General features: G+C 36.3%; 1 protein-coding gene across 41 annotated transcripts in view; it reads right to left on the bottom strand.

The window, feature by feature from the left end:
- Positions 1-18,577, bottom strand: part of CNTRL (centriolin) — a 102,656-nt gene that overhangs the window by 57,668 nt on the left and 26,411 nt on the right. For 13 of the 41 annotated variants that reach the window (XM_047422667.1, XM_047422671.1, XM_047422669.1 and 10 more), the window contains 6 exons: positions 11,948-12,141; positions 9,372-9,428; positions 7,365-7,484; positions 6,219-6,441; positions 4,743-4,852; positions 1,403-1,597 (listed from right to left, as the gene is read on the bottom strand). In XM_047422667.1, coding sequence (XP_047278623.1) covers positions 1,403-1,597; positions 4,743-4,852; positions 6,219-6,441; positions 7,365-7,484; positions 9,372-9,428; positions 11,948-12,141 — 899 coding nt within the window. Of the gene's footprint in view, positions 1-1,402; positions 1,598-4,742; positions 4,853-6,218; positions 6,442-7,364; positions 7,485-9,371; positions 9,429-11,398; positions 12,142-18,577 lie in introns of those variants that run through there. The other 28 variants (XM_011518166.3, NM_007018.6, XM_006716940.4 and 25 more) reach the window with 6 other exon arrangements.

Here is an 18,577-nt window from a genome sequence, read left to right as displayed (position 1 = left end):
AGAGAATGTTTCCTTTTTTAAGGACAAAACAAAACAGTATGAAAAAACAAATACGTTCAGTGGAAAATTTGCAAAAAGGATTAAATAGAAGAGGTAGAAAAAGGACTCGCAACCCCCTTCAGCTTTTTCTGCTCTTAAGAAAGATGAAGGGCTGGGCATGGTGGCTCATGACTGTAATCCCAGCACTTTGGGAGGCCAAGGTAGGCAGATCAGGAGGTCAGGAGTTTGAGACCAGCCTGAGCAACATGGAGAAACCCCATCTCTACCAAAAATACAAAAATTAGCTGGGTGTGGTGGTGCGCGCCTGTAATCCCAGCTACTCAGGAGGCTGAGGCAGGAGAATCGCTTCGGCAGGGCATGGTGGCTCACGCCTGTAATCCCAGCACTTTGGGAGGTTGAGGTGGGTGGATCACAAGGTCAGGAGATCAAGACCATCCTCGCCAACATGGTGAGACCTTGTCTCTACTAAAAATACAAAAATCAGCCAGGCGTGGTGGTGGGTGCCTGTAGTCCCAGCTACTCGGGAGGCTGAGGCAGGAGAATCGCTTGAACCTGGGAGGCGGAGGTTGCAGTGAGCGGAGATTGCGCCACTGCACTCCAGCCTGGCGACAGAGCAAAAAAAAAAAAAAGAGAGAGAGAGAGAGAAAGAAAGATGAAAAAAAGGCAAGGAGAGAGAAAGGTAAGGAGCAAATCTCCCTTGCTCTGCAATACAATGAAATTCAACCACTTAAAAAAAAATAAATATACCATGCGGCCATCATTTACTGAAAGCTACCTTCTTCAAGCCCTAGGTTGTTTTGTTTTAGACATACACATTCCATATATGTGTGTGTATACACACACACACACACACACACACACATATATTTATGTATAATACACATATATATACACATACATACATTATATATACACACATATATGTACAGTTTTCCTTCAGTATCCATGGGGGATTCATCCCAGGATTCCCTGCAGATACCAAGATCCACTGATGCTCAAGTCCCTTCTATAAAATAGCATAATATTTGTATTTAACCTATGGACATCCTCTTATATATTAAAATCATCTCTAGATTACTTATAATACCTAATACAGTATAAATGCTATGTGAATAGTTGTTATACTGTCTTGTTTAGGGAATAATGACAAATGAAAAAAAGTCTGTACATGTTCAGTACAGACACAACCATCCTTTTTTTTCCTAATATATGTGATCTGCAGTTGGTTAAATCCACAGATGCAGAACCCATGGATATGGAGGGCTGACTGTATGTATATATCACTTAAATTTGTACATCAAACTAAAACAGACTTTCAGAAAGGACTCTGGACTCTGATGCTAACAATGATGAGACATGTAATATGTAGACAGAACAAGTCAAAATTTCTTAATTTACTCACATGTTTTGGGTCTTTGGAATCCAGGCTATCTATGGCTATTTGCAGGTCCTTAATCTCCTTCTGCTTTCCGGCAATTTCCTGCTTTTGCTTTTCCATCTGCAGTTCTAGATCCAGAGCTTCCTGGCGTAATTTATTTACAAGTTGTAGTCTACCACTCAACTGCTTGTAAAGAAGGTCTTTCCCTGCTTCTGAAATCTAATCTCCCCAAACCCCAATATATAATTAACAGAGAAGAACAACACTGATTTATTAAGACAATGTCTATAATTTTAATAAGTATTCTATATTCTATCAGTTTTTTAAAAATAAAAGTGAAATGTGGGAGTTATCTAAGCACTCCATGCATATTTTATATTTTTATGCTTATATGTAGAAAATCATACTTTATAAAAGTTTATGAAAACTAATAATAGCAAGCACAAATAAGCTGTCATTCTATAATAGTATAGGCAACTTGTAAATTATTAATAATAAACATAGTATTAATAATAGCCAACTTTATATAGCACTTACTATGGGCCATGCACTGTTCTAAACTCTTTATATACTTTTTTTTTTTTTTGAGACGGAGTCTTGCTCTGTCGCCCAGGGTGGAGTGCAGTGGCGCGATCTCGGCTCACCGCAAGCTCTGCATCCCGGGTTCACGCCATTCTCCTGCCTCAGCCTCCCGAGTAGCTGGGACTATAGGCGCCCACTACCACGCCCAGCTAATTTTTTGTATTTTTAGTAGAGATGGGGTTTCACCATGTTAGCCAGGATGGTCTCAATCTCCTGACCTCATGATCCACCCGTCTCGGCCTCCCAAAGTGCTGGGATTACAGGCATGAGCCACCATGCCCAGCCTCTTTATATCCTTTAATCTAATCCTCAAAACATATAAAGTAAAAAGTATAATTATCCCAATTTTATAGATAAAGAAACTGAATCATGGAAAATTTAAATATCTCGCCCAAGGTCATACTAGGAGTTTGTGGAAGCAAGACTTTGTGTGACTCTAGACAATTTCACTGACTACTACGCTACAGTTACCTAATTAGTTTTAATATGAAGATAGTCAACCAATAAATTGAGTATTGACATAGAAGTAATAACTTAATACTCTATCTCTTATTTCTAACAGTTTTTAGCATAGAGATTTAAACAAATATAAAAATTTCTCAAGAGTCTGTATAGAAGTGTAAAAAAGATGAAGATAAAAGACTGAAAAGAAATAAAATATGGACGATTATTATGTAATTCCCCATAACTGCAATACCTTTATAATCAGGAAAAAATTTTAGAATTCCGTGTTCACTGGACAATCATCTCATACTAAATAATTTCAAAATACAGCAAACTCTTATTAAATTGAGATTTTTATTTCACTGAATCAGAACCCAGCTGAAGCTTACCTTTGTTAGCATGTCAAGTAAGTGAACAGTATAAACAAAAATTTAGGCTATTAACTTTATTATTAATTATTAACTGTTAATGTTAACTCATTTAAATAACTATTTTCCAAGCATATTTTGGAAGTATCTATTTCTTTTAAAATTAAGTACATTATTTACATCTATCAATCTATGTAAAGCTTTGGCCAGTACTATTATAAAAAATTCTTTTTAAATTAGTAAAACCGTCTTGATAGCTCCCTCTACCTCATCTCCTACTTTCAACCCATCATTAAGTCCTGTCAGTTCTACTGTCCAGTGTTTCCTGGAATCAGCTGGCTTTCTCTCCACATCCACCAGCACCTTCCTGGTTGGTGCTAGTATCATCTCTTGCCTGTACTGAACAACAGCCTCCTGACAGATACAGATGCACACATCCCTTCCATCTCACTCAGTCCATTTCACTCTTCATGAAGTAAGGCAAAGTGACAAATAGGATCAGCCACTCAACTATCTAAAGCCCTTCAAAGATTTCCCATTGCATGCAAAATAAAATTCAAACTTCTTAAGATGGCTTATGAACAATTTAGGAGGCCAAGACGGGCAGATCGCTTGAGCCTAAGAGTTCAAGACCAGCCTGGTCAATATGGTGAGACTCCATCTCTACAAAAAAATATAAAAAATTAGCCGGGAGTGATGGCACATGCCTGTAGTCCCAGCTATTCTGGAAGCTAAGGTGGGAGAATCACCTGAGCCCAGGAGTCAAGGCCCTGTCTCAAAAAAATAAAAATAAAAAATAAAAAAATGCCTATGAAGCCTGGCATGATCTTTAACCTCAAGACTCTTTATCTTCCTCTACACTCTCCCTTATTCTGCAGAGAAATCTCTAGTCTGAAGGCCTTTGTGCACACTGTCACCTCTGCATGGAATACTTTCCGCCAGCTCTGCCTCACTGGCTCCTTCTCATCCTTTGTATCTTAGCCTGTCACCTCTTCAGAGAGGCCTTTGTGAATCCCCACAATCTAAAGTATATCTCTTTTAACATCTCCCCTAGTTTTCTATTTTTTTCTTACAACACTGATGCTTTTTAACTTCTTTCCTTTTTTTTAAATAAATATTTTTTTTCCTTTTTGTTTATTGCCTTATTTCCCCCACAAGTCTGTCCATGAGAGGGACACATGTCTATTTTGTTCATTAATCAGCGCCCAGCCCAGTGACTGACATATAGTAAGGTTCCAATAAACTTGAGTCAATTTCTAGTTAGTATAAAATCTGAAAGTAACAATACAGTGTATCTTTTAAAAGAATCTACAATTTGGACTTCACATTGTTGTTCTACCTACTGTGGTATGAATGTAGTTACCATCATAATTTTTAAATACTGATTTTTAAAAGTTACAAATAACTAAAACCTTTTTACCCATTTAAAAACTAAAATGTCAAGCAACTTCCTTTTCTTGAATTTTTGCCCCTATGCAATTACATCATGGATTTGAGCTGCTTACTCGCTTACTTTACAACACACTTTGGTAATTTTTGAGAATATGTTACATCAATCTTTTTGTATACCACATATCTCTTTTTTTTTTTGGCTTGTGTTTGATGACAATGTTCATGCTATAGCAGAGATATCTCCTGGTTCTTAATCTAAGTCCCAGGATCTTAAAGGTGGAGAGTGCTTAATTAAAATAGAAGAGATAGATCAGGAAGCAACTTCTCAAGACTACACCTTTTTACATAAAATTAAGTAATTTATTTCTATACATGTTATAAAATGCTAATTGGATGTCATCATAAATGGAAGAAAATTACAATTGGCAAATTCTAGAACCATATTTGACTCTGAAATTTATCATTCCATAATTAACTAGGCAGCTAACTGCTTTTTAAATTGTTTTATATGGTTATGAAGGGAAAAACACATTTCATTTTTCATTTCCTCTTAGCATTGCTGCTTTGCTTTTACATACCTTTTTTAGTTGTATAGCTTCTTCCAGTTGTTTAAATTCTTCAGTAGCTCTCAAAATTTGTTGTTCTGCCTTTTCTATTTCATCATGCAGTTCTGATAGTCGAGTTTGTGCTGCAAATTTAAAAACCATGCTCACATAATATGAAACAAGAAAAATCTTGAATTCTGAAATTTCAACCAGGTATTCTTTCTTTGTAATAACCTTCTCCCTGCTCTATTAAACTGTCATTATATCTCACAAAAAAATTTTAAAGTAATTACTTATGATCGCTTTTGTCTATTTATTAATCTCTAGAATAAACTGTTTCATTATATGGTATAGAACTATAATTGATCCTTTTATTTGTAAAATTCTCAACATGAAAGGGGCTATTCCCAACACTAGTAAACCCTTTTGAGAGAATAAGACTTTTATTGGGAAATATGCACTTTACATGTTACTAAGTTATAATTAGGTTCAGGATATTAAAAATAACCCATAAAACCTTGTGTTAGAGGCAAATGCTTTATGATGGAATTCAATATCAAGAAATTCACTACTGAGCTCTCTCTCCCAGCTGTTGATGATCTCAAATCAATTATTTTCAACCTCAAATTTAAGATTTCTCTCTCCCTCTGTCCTATAAAACTATGAGCCAGCCCCTTTAAAGCTAGTCTGCATAAAAATCTGATTTATTTTTGCTTTCCCCCAGAGCCTTGCATATAGTATACGCAGACATAAATAACTCAGTTTCTTTTCTTCCTTCACCAAGTCAACCTCTATTTGCCTTCCATGCCTTCCACTTAGCTACCAGTCAAGGAAAGATAAGCCGCTGGTCTGACTGAGAGCACCACAGTGGGCCATAATGCTGGGGGGATGCACAAACCCTGGTCAGAGTTCTCTTTCTTCCATATCCATGCAGCTGAGTGGGTAAATAGATTCAAAGTCTGTCATTGGCAGGGTCTCTAAAGTGTCCCCCTGCCTTGACTTATTCCTTTATGTGACTTGCCAGAAGGTATTAAGATCCCTTGAATTAGATTGTGGGGCATGGGGCATGTCAGGAAAAGTCAGAGGCTAGCCTTCGGCCCAGGCCTGAGGAGAATGCTCTGTTGCAGCTTATACAAAGCATTGCTTTAGGTTTTTGCTACATGCATAGTAATCAATCAAGTGGTTCTTTACTTGCTTCAGTTATTACTAATTGTGACTTCGAATATATAGTTCCAGTGCTTATTTGAAGGAGGGGATTTACTCATTCTTGAATCCCCTGGACATGCTGCCATCAAATTACTGCCAAAAACTCCATTCTTAACCATAACAGGAATCATTACAAAATAAATGCTCGATAAATCTGCTTGATAATCACTACTTTTGTTTTAGACTTTTCATGGAAACAATACCATCAACATGTTCAATTAAAAGACTTATAAAACAAAATTGGCCTACATATTCAATGTTTTCATATTTTTTTTTAAAGAATTTAAAATAACTTTTTTTAACCTGCACTTATTTTTTTTTCTTTGTCTTCCAGTTGCGTGTCCAGTGGTGTGTGGCCTCTCAAGTTCATGTGATCATTTCTAAGTTGTTCATCTGGCTCCATCTTCTTGATCTGTACTGCCTGAGCACTGTCAATAATATAACTCTCTGTGGCAAACATATTTCTCTTGTATCTGGATTTGCCAATGTAAGGGCTTTCATCTGGGGCTTTATCAATTTCAGCATACTAAAAGCAAAATAATAGATTTATGGTTTAATAAGTGATCTCCAAGCAGTCAAATGACATTATTCATTTTATTAGTGGCAAACATATCACAGAATTGCTCAAGTTTATATAAATTCTACATGCCTAGGAGCTGAAAGATATATATTATTCTTTTATCTTCTTCTTAATATACCAAAAAAGGAAATTAGAACTAAAAATGGTCTCAAAAGAATTCTTCCTCTTACCACAGAAGAGTGAAAGTTTGGACTGATTGATTAAAGAACTGCCTACAGTTATGTGATTTTTAGCACTGCTTGATCTCTCAAATTAGAAATATGGGTGTTTTATTTTGGTTTCTTGGCTCATATAAATAAAATCTCAGTCTAATATTTTTTTCAGATACATGGTGTGTAGCCATCAGTATAATATATTTTAATAATTGAATTTTTAAAAATGAAATATCATATGATATTGGTTGGAATCACTGGGTCTTAGAAGTTTGGCATTTCCTCACTTGCAGTGACATTTATGGCATTTGTACCAGTCATGATTGATTAATACTGAACCCAGTAATTACTGAACAAACCATGTAAGGGGATGACTATTCCATGGTACTGAAGCACTTTTCCCAGAAGTCTGGATTTAAAGGAGCTGATCAACCCATACACCTGGGAAAGATAGCTGCGAGTTAGACGACTGCTTTTGGTAATGGATATGGCTATGGGCAAAGATTCTTTTGAAGTTTTTTACCTCTTTAGGATTCTGTTCTAACTCCCGGAGCCAAATAAGTCATAGATTGAACCAAAATACAGTTTAATCCTCTCATAACAAGAAAGTGGAGTGATATCTGATCAAATCCCTTACATGTCCTCACCACCTGCCCTCCCCCATTCCATCCCATGTGGGCTTTAACTTTGGATTACTAAAAAATTAAAATAACTCACCTCTGATGGATAATAATTTAGTGGCTCAAATTTAGCATCAATTTTATAAAAGGCCAATTCCTGTTCCAGCTCATATTGCTTCTGACATGCTCGTGTTAATTCTATGGTCTTCTGTTTTAGCTATTGGCCCAATTTGATATGAGACAACATACAGGATCAGTAAGTTAGTATAAAGGTGTGATGATATGGTAAGTTCTCATCGTAAGTTATAATCATATATGTTTAAAAACTTCACAGTAAGCTGCACAACACTCAGAACATTTTATCTTACTTCTAAATTATAAAAAATGAAATACAAAATTATTATTTCATCAGAGATCATGTAAAAGACCTTTGAAGTTTATCTGCTGCTTCACGATATAATGAATAATGATTTTAAAAATCACTTAAATTTGTTAAACATGAAAATATTTTTGTATCAATTATTTTTGTGTAACTGGCCTAATAAATACCTGCTTCCTGATTTTCCAATAATTAGCACTAATTTCTTAAACTGACTTTCCGACTTTAACAATAGTTTCAAATTACAAGGGAAAATGATAACTGACATTAACTGCAGAGAAATAAAGAGGAATGAGAAGGATGAAAAGAAGAGCTTGGTTTTAATTGTCATACTGTTGTTGCTGTAGTATTAAGTGTTCAGAATATTATTCTTTGTAATAAAGAATAAGGGATGTGAATAAGCTCAACCAGATCCAAATATGTAATATTCAATTTTAATAAAGTAATTCTACTATAACTTTTTATTCTTAGAAATTTTTGGAGCTTGGAGAAGACAAATGATCCAATCTAATTCTCTGAATTTATAAATACAGAAATTAAGTCTCAGATTGATGAACTGACTTGTCTAAAGTTACATATTAGATCAGTGTCAGAAACTAAATATTTTATTAACTAACTACTAGTACTAGCTCCTTTCTACTAAACCAAACTTTGAGTTTATTTCAAAGATCCACTAAGTGATTTTTGTCTTTTTTTGGCCAGTATCTGATGGTAGATATCAAAGAAAAAACATGCAGAAAAATTTCATTAATATAAAAGTGCAAGCTGAAGAGAATAAAACATAAACAAACACAAACATTTTACAAGGCCCAGGAAATCAAAGTCGTGCATGATTTAGCTCACAGTCACCTCCTGATTATCCATCAAAATGGAAGTAATAGCCTAGATAATGGGTAACATTGAGCCAAATACTCAATGTGTGCCAGACATTGTGCTAAGCATTTTACATATGTTATTGCACTAAATCTTCACAACCACCCAATAAGATGATAAAAGCTGCACAGAGAAGTTAAATAACTTGCCCAATTTCACAGCTGGTAGTGGAAGAGGCAGAATTCAATTCCAAGTCTCCTGATTTCAAATCCAATACTGCCTATTCTTCCATGCTGCCTTCGATGTACTGCTGCAGGGTGTCCAGCACATTACCCACATTGATATTTTCACTGAATGATCATAAGTCTCCGAGTCTCAAGAAAGCAACTCACAATCAACACTGTCAACTAATCTTGGGTTCTCTCCTCAAAACTCATTGGCAATAGTGGCAAACAACAGGCAAATGTGACTGGAATCACAGAGAATACATGAACTGGTCTCTGCAGGCAAATAATAATAAATAGGCTGTGCATTTCAAAGTACTTTTGTGACTTTTATAAGCCCCAGGCTTAGCATATTGTAAGCACTCAATAAATATCTGTTGAAGAAATGCATGAATAAAAGCAAAATAGATGTCAAATGAACTGGAAAGTAGGCTAGTCACAGTATTAGCTTTGGATAATCAAGAGTTGACTGAAGGTAACATATTTACCAATCAGAAAAATAATTCTTTCCCCCACATTCAAATTTGCTCTCCTATATAAACATCCATTAAAAAAAAATAATACATACGCACACAACCACATTTCCCAAGAAGACAAGCCAGTTTCAAAACTTAAAATGTAAGCAAGCATATTAATGCAAGTTATCATGCAAACCCTGAAAAACACAGTTCAGGCCTGGAAGAACTACCTTTAAGGAAGAATAAAGAATCAGCAGAAAAGGGCCTGCAAGAAACCAAGACAAGGGCTAAAAGAAGAAGCAAACAGATACCGTCACTTGGAGAGTTAAACTGTAATAATACAAGTTGCTCTTTACTGACAACTTACCATAGGAAGACATGGCTTTTAGTATTGGCATTATTCTTACATGGATGTATTTTATTGTCATTCTGAGTTATAGATTTACTACCTTCCATTACTTAGCTTGATTCATTTCAAATTATTTTCATTATTAGCTCATTAAATCCTCACAATTCTGTGAGGCTAGCAGGACAGGTAAATAATCCTCATTTTAAATATAACTAAACTGAAGCACAGGAATTAAATAATTTGCAAAAGGACAAAGAGTAAATTTGGTTAATATTTGTTGGTGGCAGGACAGGACTACTACGGTTTAAATGGCCACCAGAAGACTTACTTCAGTGCTACTTTTCTTTTATACATTAATTGGCCTAATGCACAAGCAACTACTTTTTTAAAATGGAAAACTTCACATAATCACAGATGATATTATCATTAGATATTCTGCAAAAGATAATAAAAATGTTTTTCAAATATAAGCTCTTAGAATAAGACCCAGAATTATTTTAGGCATCTAATAGTCCTTGGGACTAACAGATAATAGGCAAAACCAATATGAACTGGCAATTTAAAGAGGAAATACAAAATAGCCAATAAATATATATGCAATACTCAACTGTCCAACAACTATAAAAATTCAAAATTAAAACAAGATTCCATTTTTTTCTACCATATGTACAAATTCAAAATAATAGTACCTAGTTGGAAATTGGGTATTTTCTTCCCTTCTGAAATATAAATTGGTTAGAAGCTTTTTGAAGTGTACATTAACACTTATCAAAATTTTAAATGCAAATTACACGGTAATTCCACTTCTAGTGGTTTATGCTAAAGAAATACTAGTATGAATGCATAAGGTATATATAGACACACACACACACACAGATTTTCTCTGTAGTACTGTCTCTAATAGCAAAAATTGTGAAAGCAACCTAAATATCCATCAATAGGAATAGGCTAACTAAATTATGAAGAATACATTTAATGGAACACAACATAGACTTTAAAAAGAGTAAGAAGGCTTTATACATGCATGTACACATATTTTTTAACTTGGAGAGTTGTCCACGTATGCTGTTTTGTGAAAGTTAAGATGCTGAATAATAATATACAGTCTACTCTCCATATCTGAGTTCTGCATCTGTGGATTCAACCAACCACGGATTAAAAATATTTTTTTAAAAGGATGGTTGCATCTGTATTGAACATGTACAGATATTTTTTCTTAATTATTATTTCCTAAACAATATAATATTTATTAGCATTGACAATGTCTTAGGTATTATAAGTAATCTAGCAATGATTTTAAAGTATACTAGAGGATGTACGAAAGTCACTTGCAAATACTACACCATTTTACATAAAGGACTTGAGCATCCATGGATTTTGGTATCCATGGGGGTGTCCTGGAACCAATCCCCCACAGATACAGAGGAATAACTGTATACAGTAACATTCCTTTTTTCATTACAAAAATATTCAAAGGTATAACATGCTTAATTATATATACATTATGTAATTACATGTATACTGTATAAGAAGCATGGAAAACAAAGTATTAATATCTGGGGAATGGGGTAGGGAAGAGTGGACTTTCATTTCTGCTAAATACAGTTGTGTTGTCTAAATTTGTTACAATGAACATACATTAATTTTGTATATAAATGTGTTTTTATTTTATTTTTATTTTTGTAGAGACAGGGTCTCATTATGTTGCCCAGGCTGATGTTGAATTTCTGACCTCAAGTGATCCTTGCACCTCAGCATCCCAAAGTGTTGGGATTAAAGGCATGAGCGATGGCGCCTGGCATAAACATGTTTTTAAATGGTTAATGATAAAAATAACATAATGACATAGAGAAGAGCACAGTCTGACTTCTAACAAAAATAGGTATAGAAAAAAAAAGCAAAAACTTCTGACAGTTTACAAAACATTTATTGACAGCACAAACATATCAATAACATTATAAATAAGCAAAAGAGAAAACTAGGCAACTACAGTTCATAGTTTTGGGATAGTGGAAAGTCTTAAGGTCTGACATTTTGCCAAGGTTTTCAATGGGCTGAGTAACGTGCACCAGGGAATCAGCATAAAGATATTATATTTTATCTTAGTAATAAAAGATGGATTCCATGTCCAAAAAGACCTATAACTCACAAAATTTTGGATAATTTTGCCAGATCGCCTTCTAAATGTTTTTGCCAATGAACAGCCTCACCTACAATGTTGTTTTTAAAAAATACAAATATCTAGGAGTACATAATGCAGCTCAAGACAGCATTAGTCTTTTGGGAAGCCATATCATCTAGCACACAGTCAACTACAATTCATAAGCCTTTCCACATATTTCTGTTAAACCACATCTTCCCCATTATATGGTCAGGAAGTTGTATTTTTAGACCCAAGGGCAAAGAATTATCTGTCTTATGAGAATACAGCCAAAGCAATGTAAAATATGAACTTACCAATTCATTTTTTGTGTTTAAGTCACTCTTGAGTTCCTCACAGCTCTGTTTCTGTAACATGGCCTCCTCTTTTAATGATTTATTCAATTTATCTTGATTTTTAATTTCCTCAAGGAACCTTGTTTGTTTGCTCTTAAGCTCTTCAGTTTCTATCATCTTTTTTTCTAGGTCTCTTTCCAGTCTTTCTACCTCTTCTGCCAATGAAAATTTAATAGTTTATTTATCATTATATTTCCTATTTTTAAAAAGGTAAGAATATTTCTCAAACAATAGTGAAAAAAGTCTAAAAATATTGTAAATACAATTCTACTTTTAAAATTAGCCACCATGGTTTTGGAAAAAAAGACTATCCTGATCTTGAAATTGAGGCAAGAAGGCATCATTTCAATGATATTTTTAAAAGATAATACTTTACTTCCAAGTATTTAATCCAATTAGTGTGCTGATAAATGAGTTCTTTTCTAGGTGACCTTTGAAAAACATGCAATATTTTATCAGACATTAGTAATTACATTTAAAAGGATGCTGCAAACATGTTTGCAAAATTCTGTATTATCTTAAAATCCTTCAACAGCTTCCTGTTACTCTTAGGATAAGATCCAAAAGGCTTGCGAAAAGCTGATAAAGTTCTTCATAATTTGGACTCAACCTCCCTCTTCTGCCTCATCTTCAAGCATACTCTACTGCAGCTTTCTTAAAGTTATCCCATTTCTTCAGATTTGTGATGCCTCTTCTCACCTATAGGCTTTTATTCACACACTTTCCCTAGAACTGTCTTCCTCTACCTCCTACTGGGCTATTTTGCATCCTACAGGTCTTAAGTTTTAAAAAAAAATTTTGAGAAGCCTGCCCAGGCCCTATCCTGTCACCAGGTTAGATGATTCTGAGGTATACTCCCATGCTACCCTGAAATTCTGCTTGGCCCTTGTCACACAGGGAGTAGTAAAATGTGATCAAATAGCTTAGCTGTCTGCCTTTCCCCACTAAAGCGTCACAAAAGCAGAAACTACATCTACCTGGCTCACCTAGACTAGATCTAATAGCCTAGCACATTAAAGTCTCCTAATTAATATCTGAAGGCATGAAGGAACCATAAGTAGTCTAACCATTTCACCCAAAAGTTATCTAGATGACTTTCCTTTGCATTATTAATATTTTTAATGATTCCAAAACATAAACTTCAGAATAATAAATATTGAGTTAGGGAGATTCCAAACTAATAAAAACTTGCCATGTTTCTCAAGTTGGATCAAACCATATGAAATTGCCATTTTTGGAGGTCAAAACAGACTAAAACTAATTTCAAATGAACAGACAGGCTCATTTCCCAACACTCTAAATTGGCTATTTGATACCTTCCTCTTTCTTCTCAAACTTCCCATACACTTTCTTCTATTTTCTCTCTCACCTGATTATCTCACCTTTAATTAAGAAAATGACCCCATCAATAAGAACTCCCTATTTTCCCACCACCACAGCAACAAAACTACCCACACCTGCACATATCTTTGCTCCTTTCTGAAGGAGAAAGTGTCACTCCTACCAAGGGATTTTTCCTTTTTTTCTCTAATCTCATTCTCATGTCTTCTCCAGAACCAAAAGAATTGAGCCATGTCTTGTTTCTCCACTTTGCTTTTAGGTTTTTTTTTTTTTTTTTTGGACGGAGTCTCGCTCTGTCGCCCAGGCTGAAGTGGAGTGGGATGACCTCGGCTCACTGCAGCCTCCGTCTACCAGGTTCAAGTGATTCTCTTCTCTCAGCTTCCCAAATAGCTGAGATTACAGGCGCCCAAAACCACACCCAGCTAATTTTTGTATTTTTAGTAGAGATGGGGTTTTGCCATGTTAGCCAGGCTGGTCTCAAACTCCTGACCTCAAGTGATCCATCTGCCTCGGCCTCCCAAAGTGCTGGGATTACAGGTGTGAACAGCTACACCCGGCCTCCACTCCACTTTTGAATATTCTGTTCATTTGTTTTTTTGTTTTCTGGCTTTGAAGTTTACTGCATTTGTTGTTTCTGCCCATTTCCTGGTCTGGAAGCCACTGGTGAATTTTTCAGTTTTAATTTTTGATCTTTTTAAAAAAATGATTTATTAAGTACTACAAGAGACATTATGGGAAAAAATTTCAAATCTCCAGCCAAATGTCTCTCTCCTATTCACTCTTCAAGCCATTATAATCTAGCATCTGTCCCCACTATTCCTTAACTACTCCTGTCAAGATCATTATCACCTGTTGCCAATCTAAAGCACTTCTCTGCTTCTCACTTCATATCTCAGCAACATTCAACAGAGTTGACCACTTCCTCTCTTGAAAACTTCTCTGGGCTATTTCCCACTATTTCCTGGTTTTCTCCTACCTTGCTGGCCTCTCTTTCTCAGCTTCCTTAGCGGACTGCTTTTCTTTCGTCTCCCAACCACTGCCTGAGTGAGCTGATTCCCATGCAATTTAATGTCATTTTTATGCTGATGTGACTGAGCATAAAATTTGTATGACTAGTCCAGATCTCTTTAAATTCCAGACTCACATTTCTGACTCTATGCCACCTCCACTTAGTTGTCTCACAGACATTTCAAACTGAATATGTCCTAAATAAAACTCTGAATTCTTCATTTTTATAAATGATATCACCATCTAGCCACTTACTTACTTGAGCCAAAAGCCTGGGAATTATCCAATCCATTAGAAAATGCTGCTGCTTCTACCTTCAAAACTGATCCATCTATCTTTCATTTCCACATCCAGCATGTTAACTACAGGCCATAAACGTTTCCAACCTGGATCACTCCTATCCAAGTGTTAACCAGGGCTGACTCTGCTTAGCTTTCAAGATCTTGTGAATGTATTCAGATGGTATGGCATAGACTCCAGCCTAGATTGCTACGCTAGCCTCCTAACAGGTCCCTTCATCTCCATTTTCCCTGCTCCAAATCATTCTCTGTATCAAAAATGATGTCCTATTGCTGCTTTTTAAAAAACTGTCAATGGCAGCCGGGCATGGTGGCTCACGCCTGTAATGCCAGCACTTTGGGAGGCCGAGGCAGGCGGATCACCTGCGGTTGGGAGTTCAAGACCAGCCTGACCCCGTAAGAGAAATCAGACAAACCCCGTCTCTACTAAAAATACAAAATTAGCCTGGTGTGGTGGTGCATGCCTGTAATCCCAGTTACTTGGAAGGCTGAGACAGGAGAACCACTTGAACCTGGGAGGCGGAGATTGCAGTGAGCTGAGATCGCACCATTGCACTCCAGCCTGGCCAACAAGAGCGAAACTCTGTCTCAAAAAAAAAAAAAAAAAAAAAAAATTGCCAGTGGCTTTCCAATGCACCTGAAATAAAATCAAAATTCCAAGGCCCTGTGCCATCTCACACCTACTTATGTCTACACACTTTTTATTGAGCTGTCCTCCAGTCTATCTGATTTTCTTTTTTTCTTTTCTTTTTGGATAGTTTTATTTATTTTTACTTTTCTTTTTTTTAATTATACTTTAAGTTCTAGGGTACATGTGCACAACGTGCAGGTTACATATGTATACACGTGCCATGTTGGTGTGCTGCACCCATTAACTCGTCATTTACATTAGGTATTTCTCCTAATGCTATCCCTCCCCTCTAGCCCCACCCCATGACAGGCCCCAGTGTGTGGTGTTACCCACCCTGTGTCCAAGTGTTCTCATTGTTCAGTTCCCACCTATGAGTGAGAACATGCGGTGTTTGGTTTTCTGTCCTTGTGACAGTTTGCAAAGAATGATGGTTTCCAGCTTCAACCATGTCCCTACAAAGGACATGAACTCATCCTTTTTTATGGCTGCATAGTATTCCATGGTGTATATGTGCCACATTTTCTTAATCCAGTCTATCATTGATGGACATTCAGGTTGGTTCCAAGTCTTCGCTATTGTGAATAGTGCCGCAATAAACATATGTGTGCGTGTGTCTTTATAGTGGCATGATTTACAATCCTTTGGGTATATACCCAGTAATGGGATGGCTGGGTCAAATGGTATTTCTAGTTCTAGATCCTTGAGGAATCACACACAGTCTTCCACAAAGGTTGAACTAGTTTACACTCCCACCAACAGTGTAAAAGTGTTCCTATTTCTCCACATCCTCTCCAGCACCTGTTGTTTCCTGGCTTTTTAATGATTGCCATTCTAACTGGTGTGAGATGGTATCTCATTGTGGTTTTGATTTGCATTTCTCTGATGGCCAGTGATGATGAGCATTTTTTCATAAATGTCTTCTTTTGAGATGTGTCTGTTCATATCCTTCGCCCACTTTTTGATGGGGCTGCTTTTTTTCTTGTAAATTTAAGTTCTTTGTAGATTCTGGATATTAGCCCTTTGTCAGATGGGTGCATTGCAAAAATTTTCTCCCATTCTGTAGGTTGCCTGTTCACTCTGATGGTAGTTTCTTTTGCTGTGCAGAAGCTCTTTAGTTTAATTAGATCCCATCTGTCAATTTTGGCTTTTGTTGCCATTGCTTTTGGTGTTTTAGACATGAAGTCCTTGCCCATGCCTATGTCCTGAATAGTATTGCCTAGGTTTTCTTCTAGGGTTTTTATGGTTTTAGGTCTGACATTTAAGTCTTTAATCCATCTTGAATTAATTTTTGTATAAGGTGTAAGGAAGAGATCCAGTTTCAGCTTTCTACATATGGCTAGCCAGTTTTCCCATCACCATTTATTAAATAGGGAATCCCTTCCCCATTGCTTGTTTTTGTCAGGTTTGTCAAAGATCAGATGGTTATAGATGTGTGGTGTTATTTCTGAGGGCTCTGTTCTGTTCCATTGGTCTATATCTCTGTTTTGGTACCAGTACCATGCTGTTTTGTTTACTGTAGCCTTGTAGTATAGTTTGAAGTCAGGTAGTGTGATGCCTCCAGCTTTGTTCTTTTTGCTTAGGATTGTCTTGGCAATGCAGGCTCTTTTTTGGTTCCATATGAACTTTAAAGTAGTTTTTTCGAATTCTGTGAAGAAAGTCATTGGTAGCTTGATGGGGATGGCATTGAATCTATAAATTACCTTGGGCAGTATGGCCATTTTCATGATATTGATTCTTCCTATCCACGAGCATGGAATGTTCCTCCATTTGTTTGTGTCCTCTTTTATTTCGTTGAGCAGTGGTTTGTAATTCTCCTTGAAGAGGTCCTTCACATCCCTTTTAAGCTGGATTCCTAGGTATTTTATTCTCTTTGAAGCAATTGTGAATGGGAGTTCACTCATGATTCTGCTCTCTGTCTGTCTATCATTGGTGTATAGGAATGCTTGTGATTTTTGCACATTGATTTTGTATCCTGAGAGTTTGCTGAAGTTGCGTATCAGCTTAAGGAGATTTTGGGCTGAGACAATGGGGTTTTCTAAATATACAATCACGTCATCTGCAAACAGGGACAATTTGACTTCCTCTTTTCCTAAGTGAACATCCTTTATTTCTTTCTCCTGCCTGATTGCCCTGGCCAGAATTTCCAACACTATGTTGAATAGGAGTGGTGAGAGAGGGCATCCCTGTCTTGTGCCAGTTTTCAAAGGGAATGCTTCCAGTTTTTGCCCATTCAGTATGATATTGGCTGTGGGTTTCTCATAAATAGCTCTTATTATTTTGAGATACATCCCATCAATACCTAATTTATTGAGTTTTTAGCATGAAGGGCTGTTGAAGTTTGTCAAAGGCCTTTTCTCCATCTATTGAGATAATAATATGGTTTTGTCTTTGGTTCTGTTTATACGATGGATTATGTTTATCAATTTGTGTATGTTGAACCAGCCTTGCATGCCAGGGATGAAGCCCACTTGATCATGGTGGATAAGCTTTTTGATGTGCTGCTGGATTCGGTTTGCCAGTATTTTATTGAGAATTTTCACATCGATGTTCATCAGGGATATTGGTCTAAAATTCTCTTTTTTTGTTGTGTCTCTGCCAGGCTTTGGTGTCAGGATGATGCTGGCCTCATAAAATGAGTTAGGGTGGATTCCCTCTTTTTCTATTCATTGAAGAGTTTCAGAAGGAATGGTACCAGCTCCTCTTTGTACCTCTGGTAGAATTCAGCTGTGACTCCGTCTGATCCTGGACTTTTTTGGGTTGGCAGGCTCTTAATTATTGCATCAATTTCAGAGCCTGTTATTGGTCTATTCAGAGATTCAACTTCTTCCTGGTTTAGTCTTGGGAGGGTGTATGTGTCCAGGAATTTATCCAATTCTTCTAGATTTTCTAGCTTATTTGCGTAGAGGTGTTTACAGTATTGTCTGATGATAGTTTGTATCTCTGTGGGATTGGTGGTGATATCTCCTTTATCATTTTTTATTGTGTCTATTTGATTCTTCTCTCTTTTCTTCTTTGTTAGTCTTGCTAGGGGTCTACCTATTTTGTTGATCTTTCAAAAAACCAGCTCCTGGATTCACTGATTTTTTTGAAGGGTTTTTTGTGGCTCTATCTCCTTCAGTTTGGCTCTGATTTTAGTTGTATCTTGCCTTCTGCTAGCTTTTGAATGTGTTTGCTCTTGCTTCTCTAGTTCTTTTAATTGTGATGTTAGGATGTCGATTTTAGATCTTTTCTGCTGTCTCTTGTGGGCATTTAGTGCTATACATTTCCCTCTACACACTGCTTTAAACGTGTCCTAGAGATTCTGGTATGTTG

This window comes from Homo sapiens, chromosome 9 (genome assembly GCF_000001405.40).
Source record: "Homo sapiens chromosome 9, GRCh38.p14 Primary Assembly".
In the NCBI taxonomy this organism is placed as follows: domain Eukaryota; kingdom Metazoa; phylum Chordata; class Mammalia; order Primates; family Hominidae; genus Homo; species Homo sapiens.
Note: the sequence above shows the minus strand (reverse complement) of the source record. Positions and strands in the feature narration are given on the sequence as shown.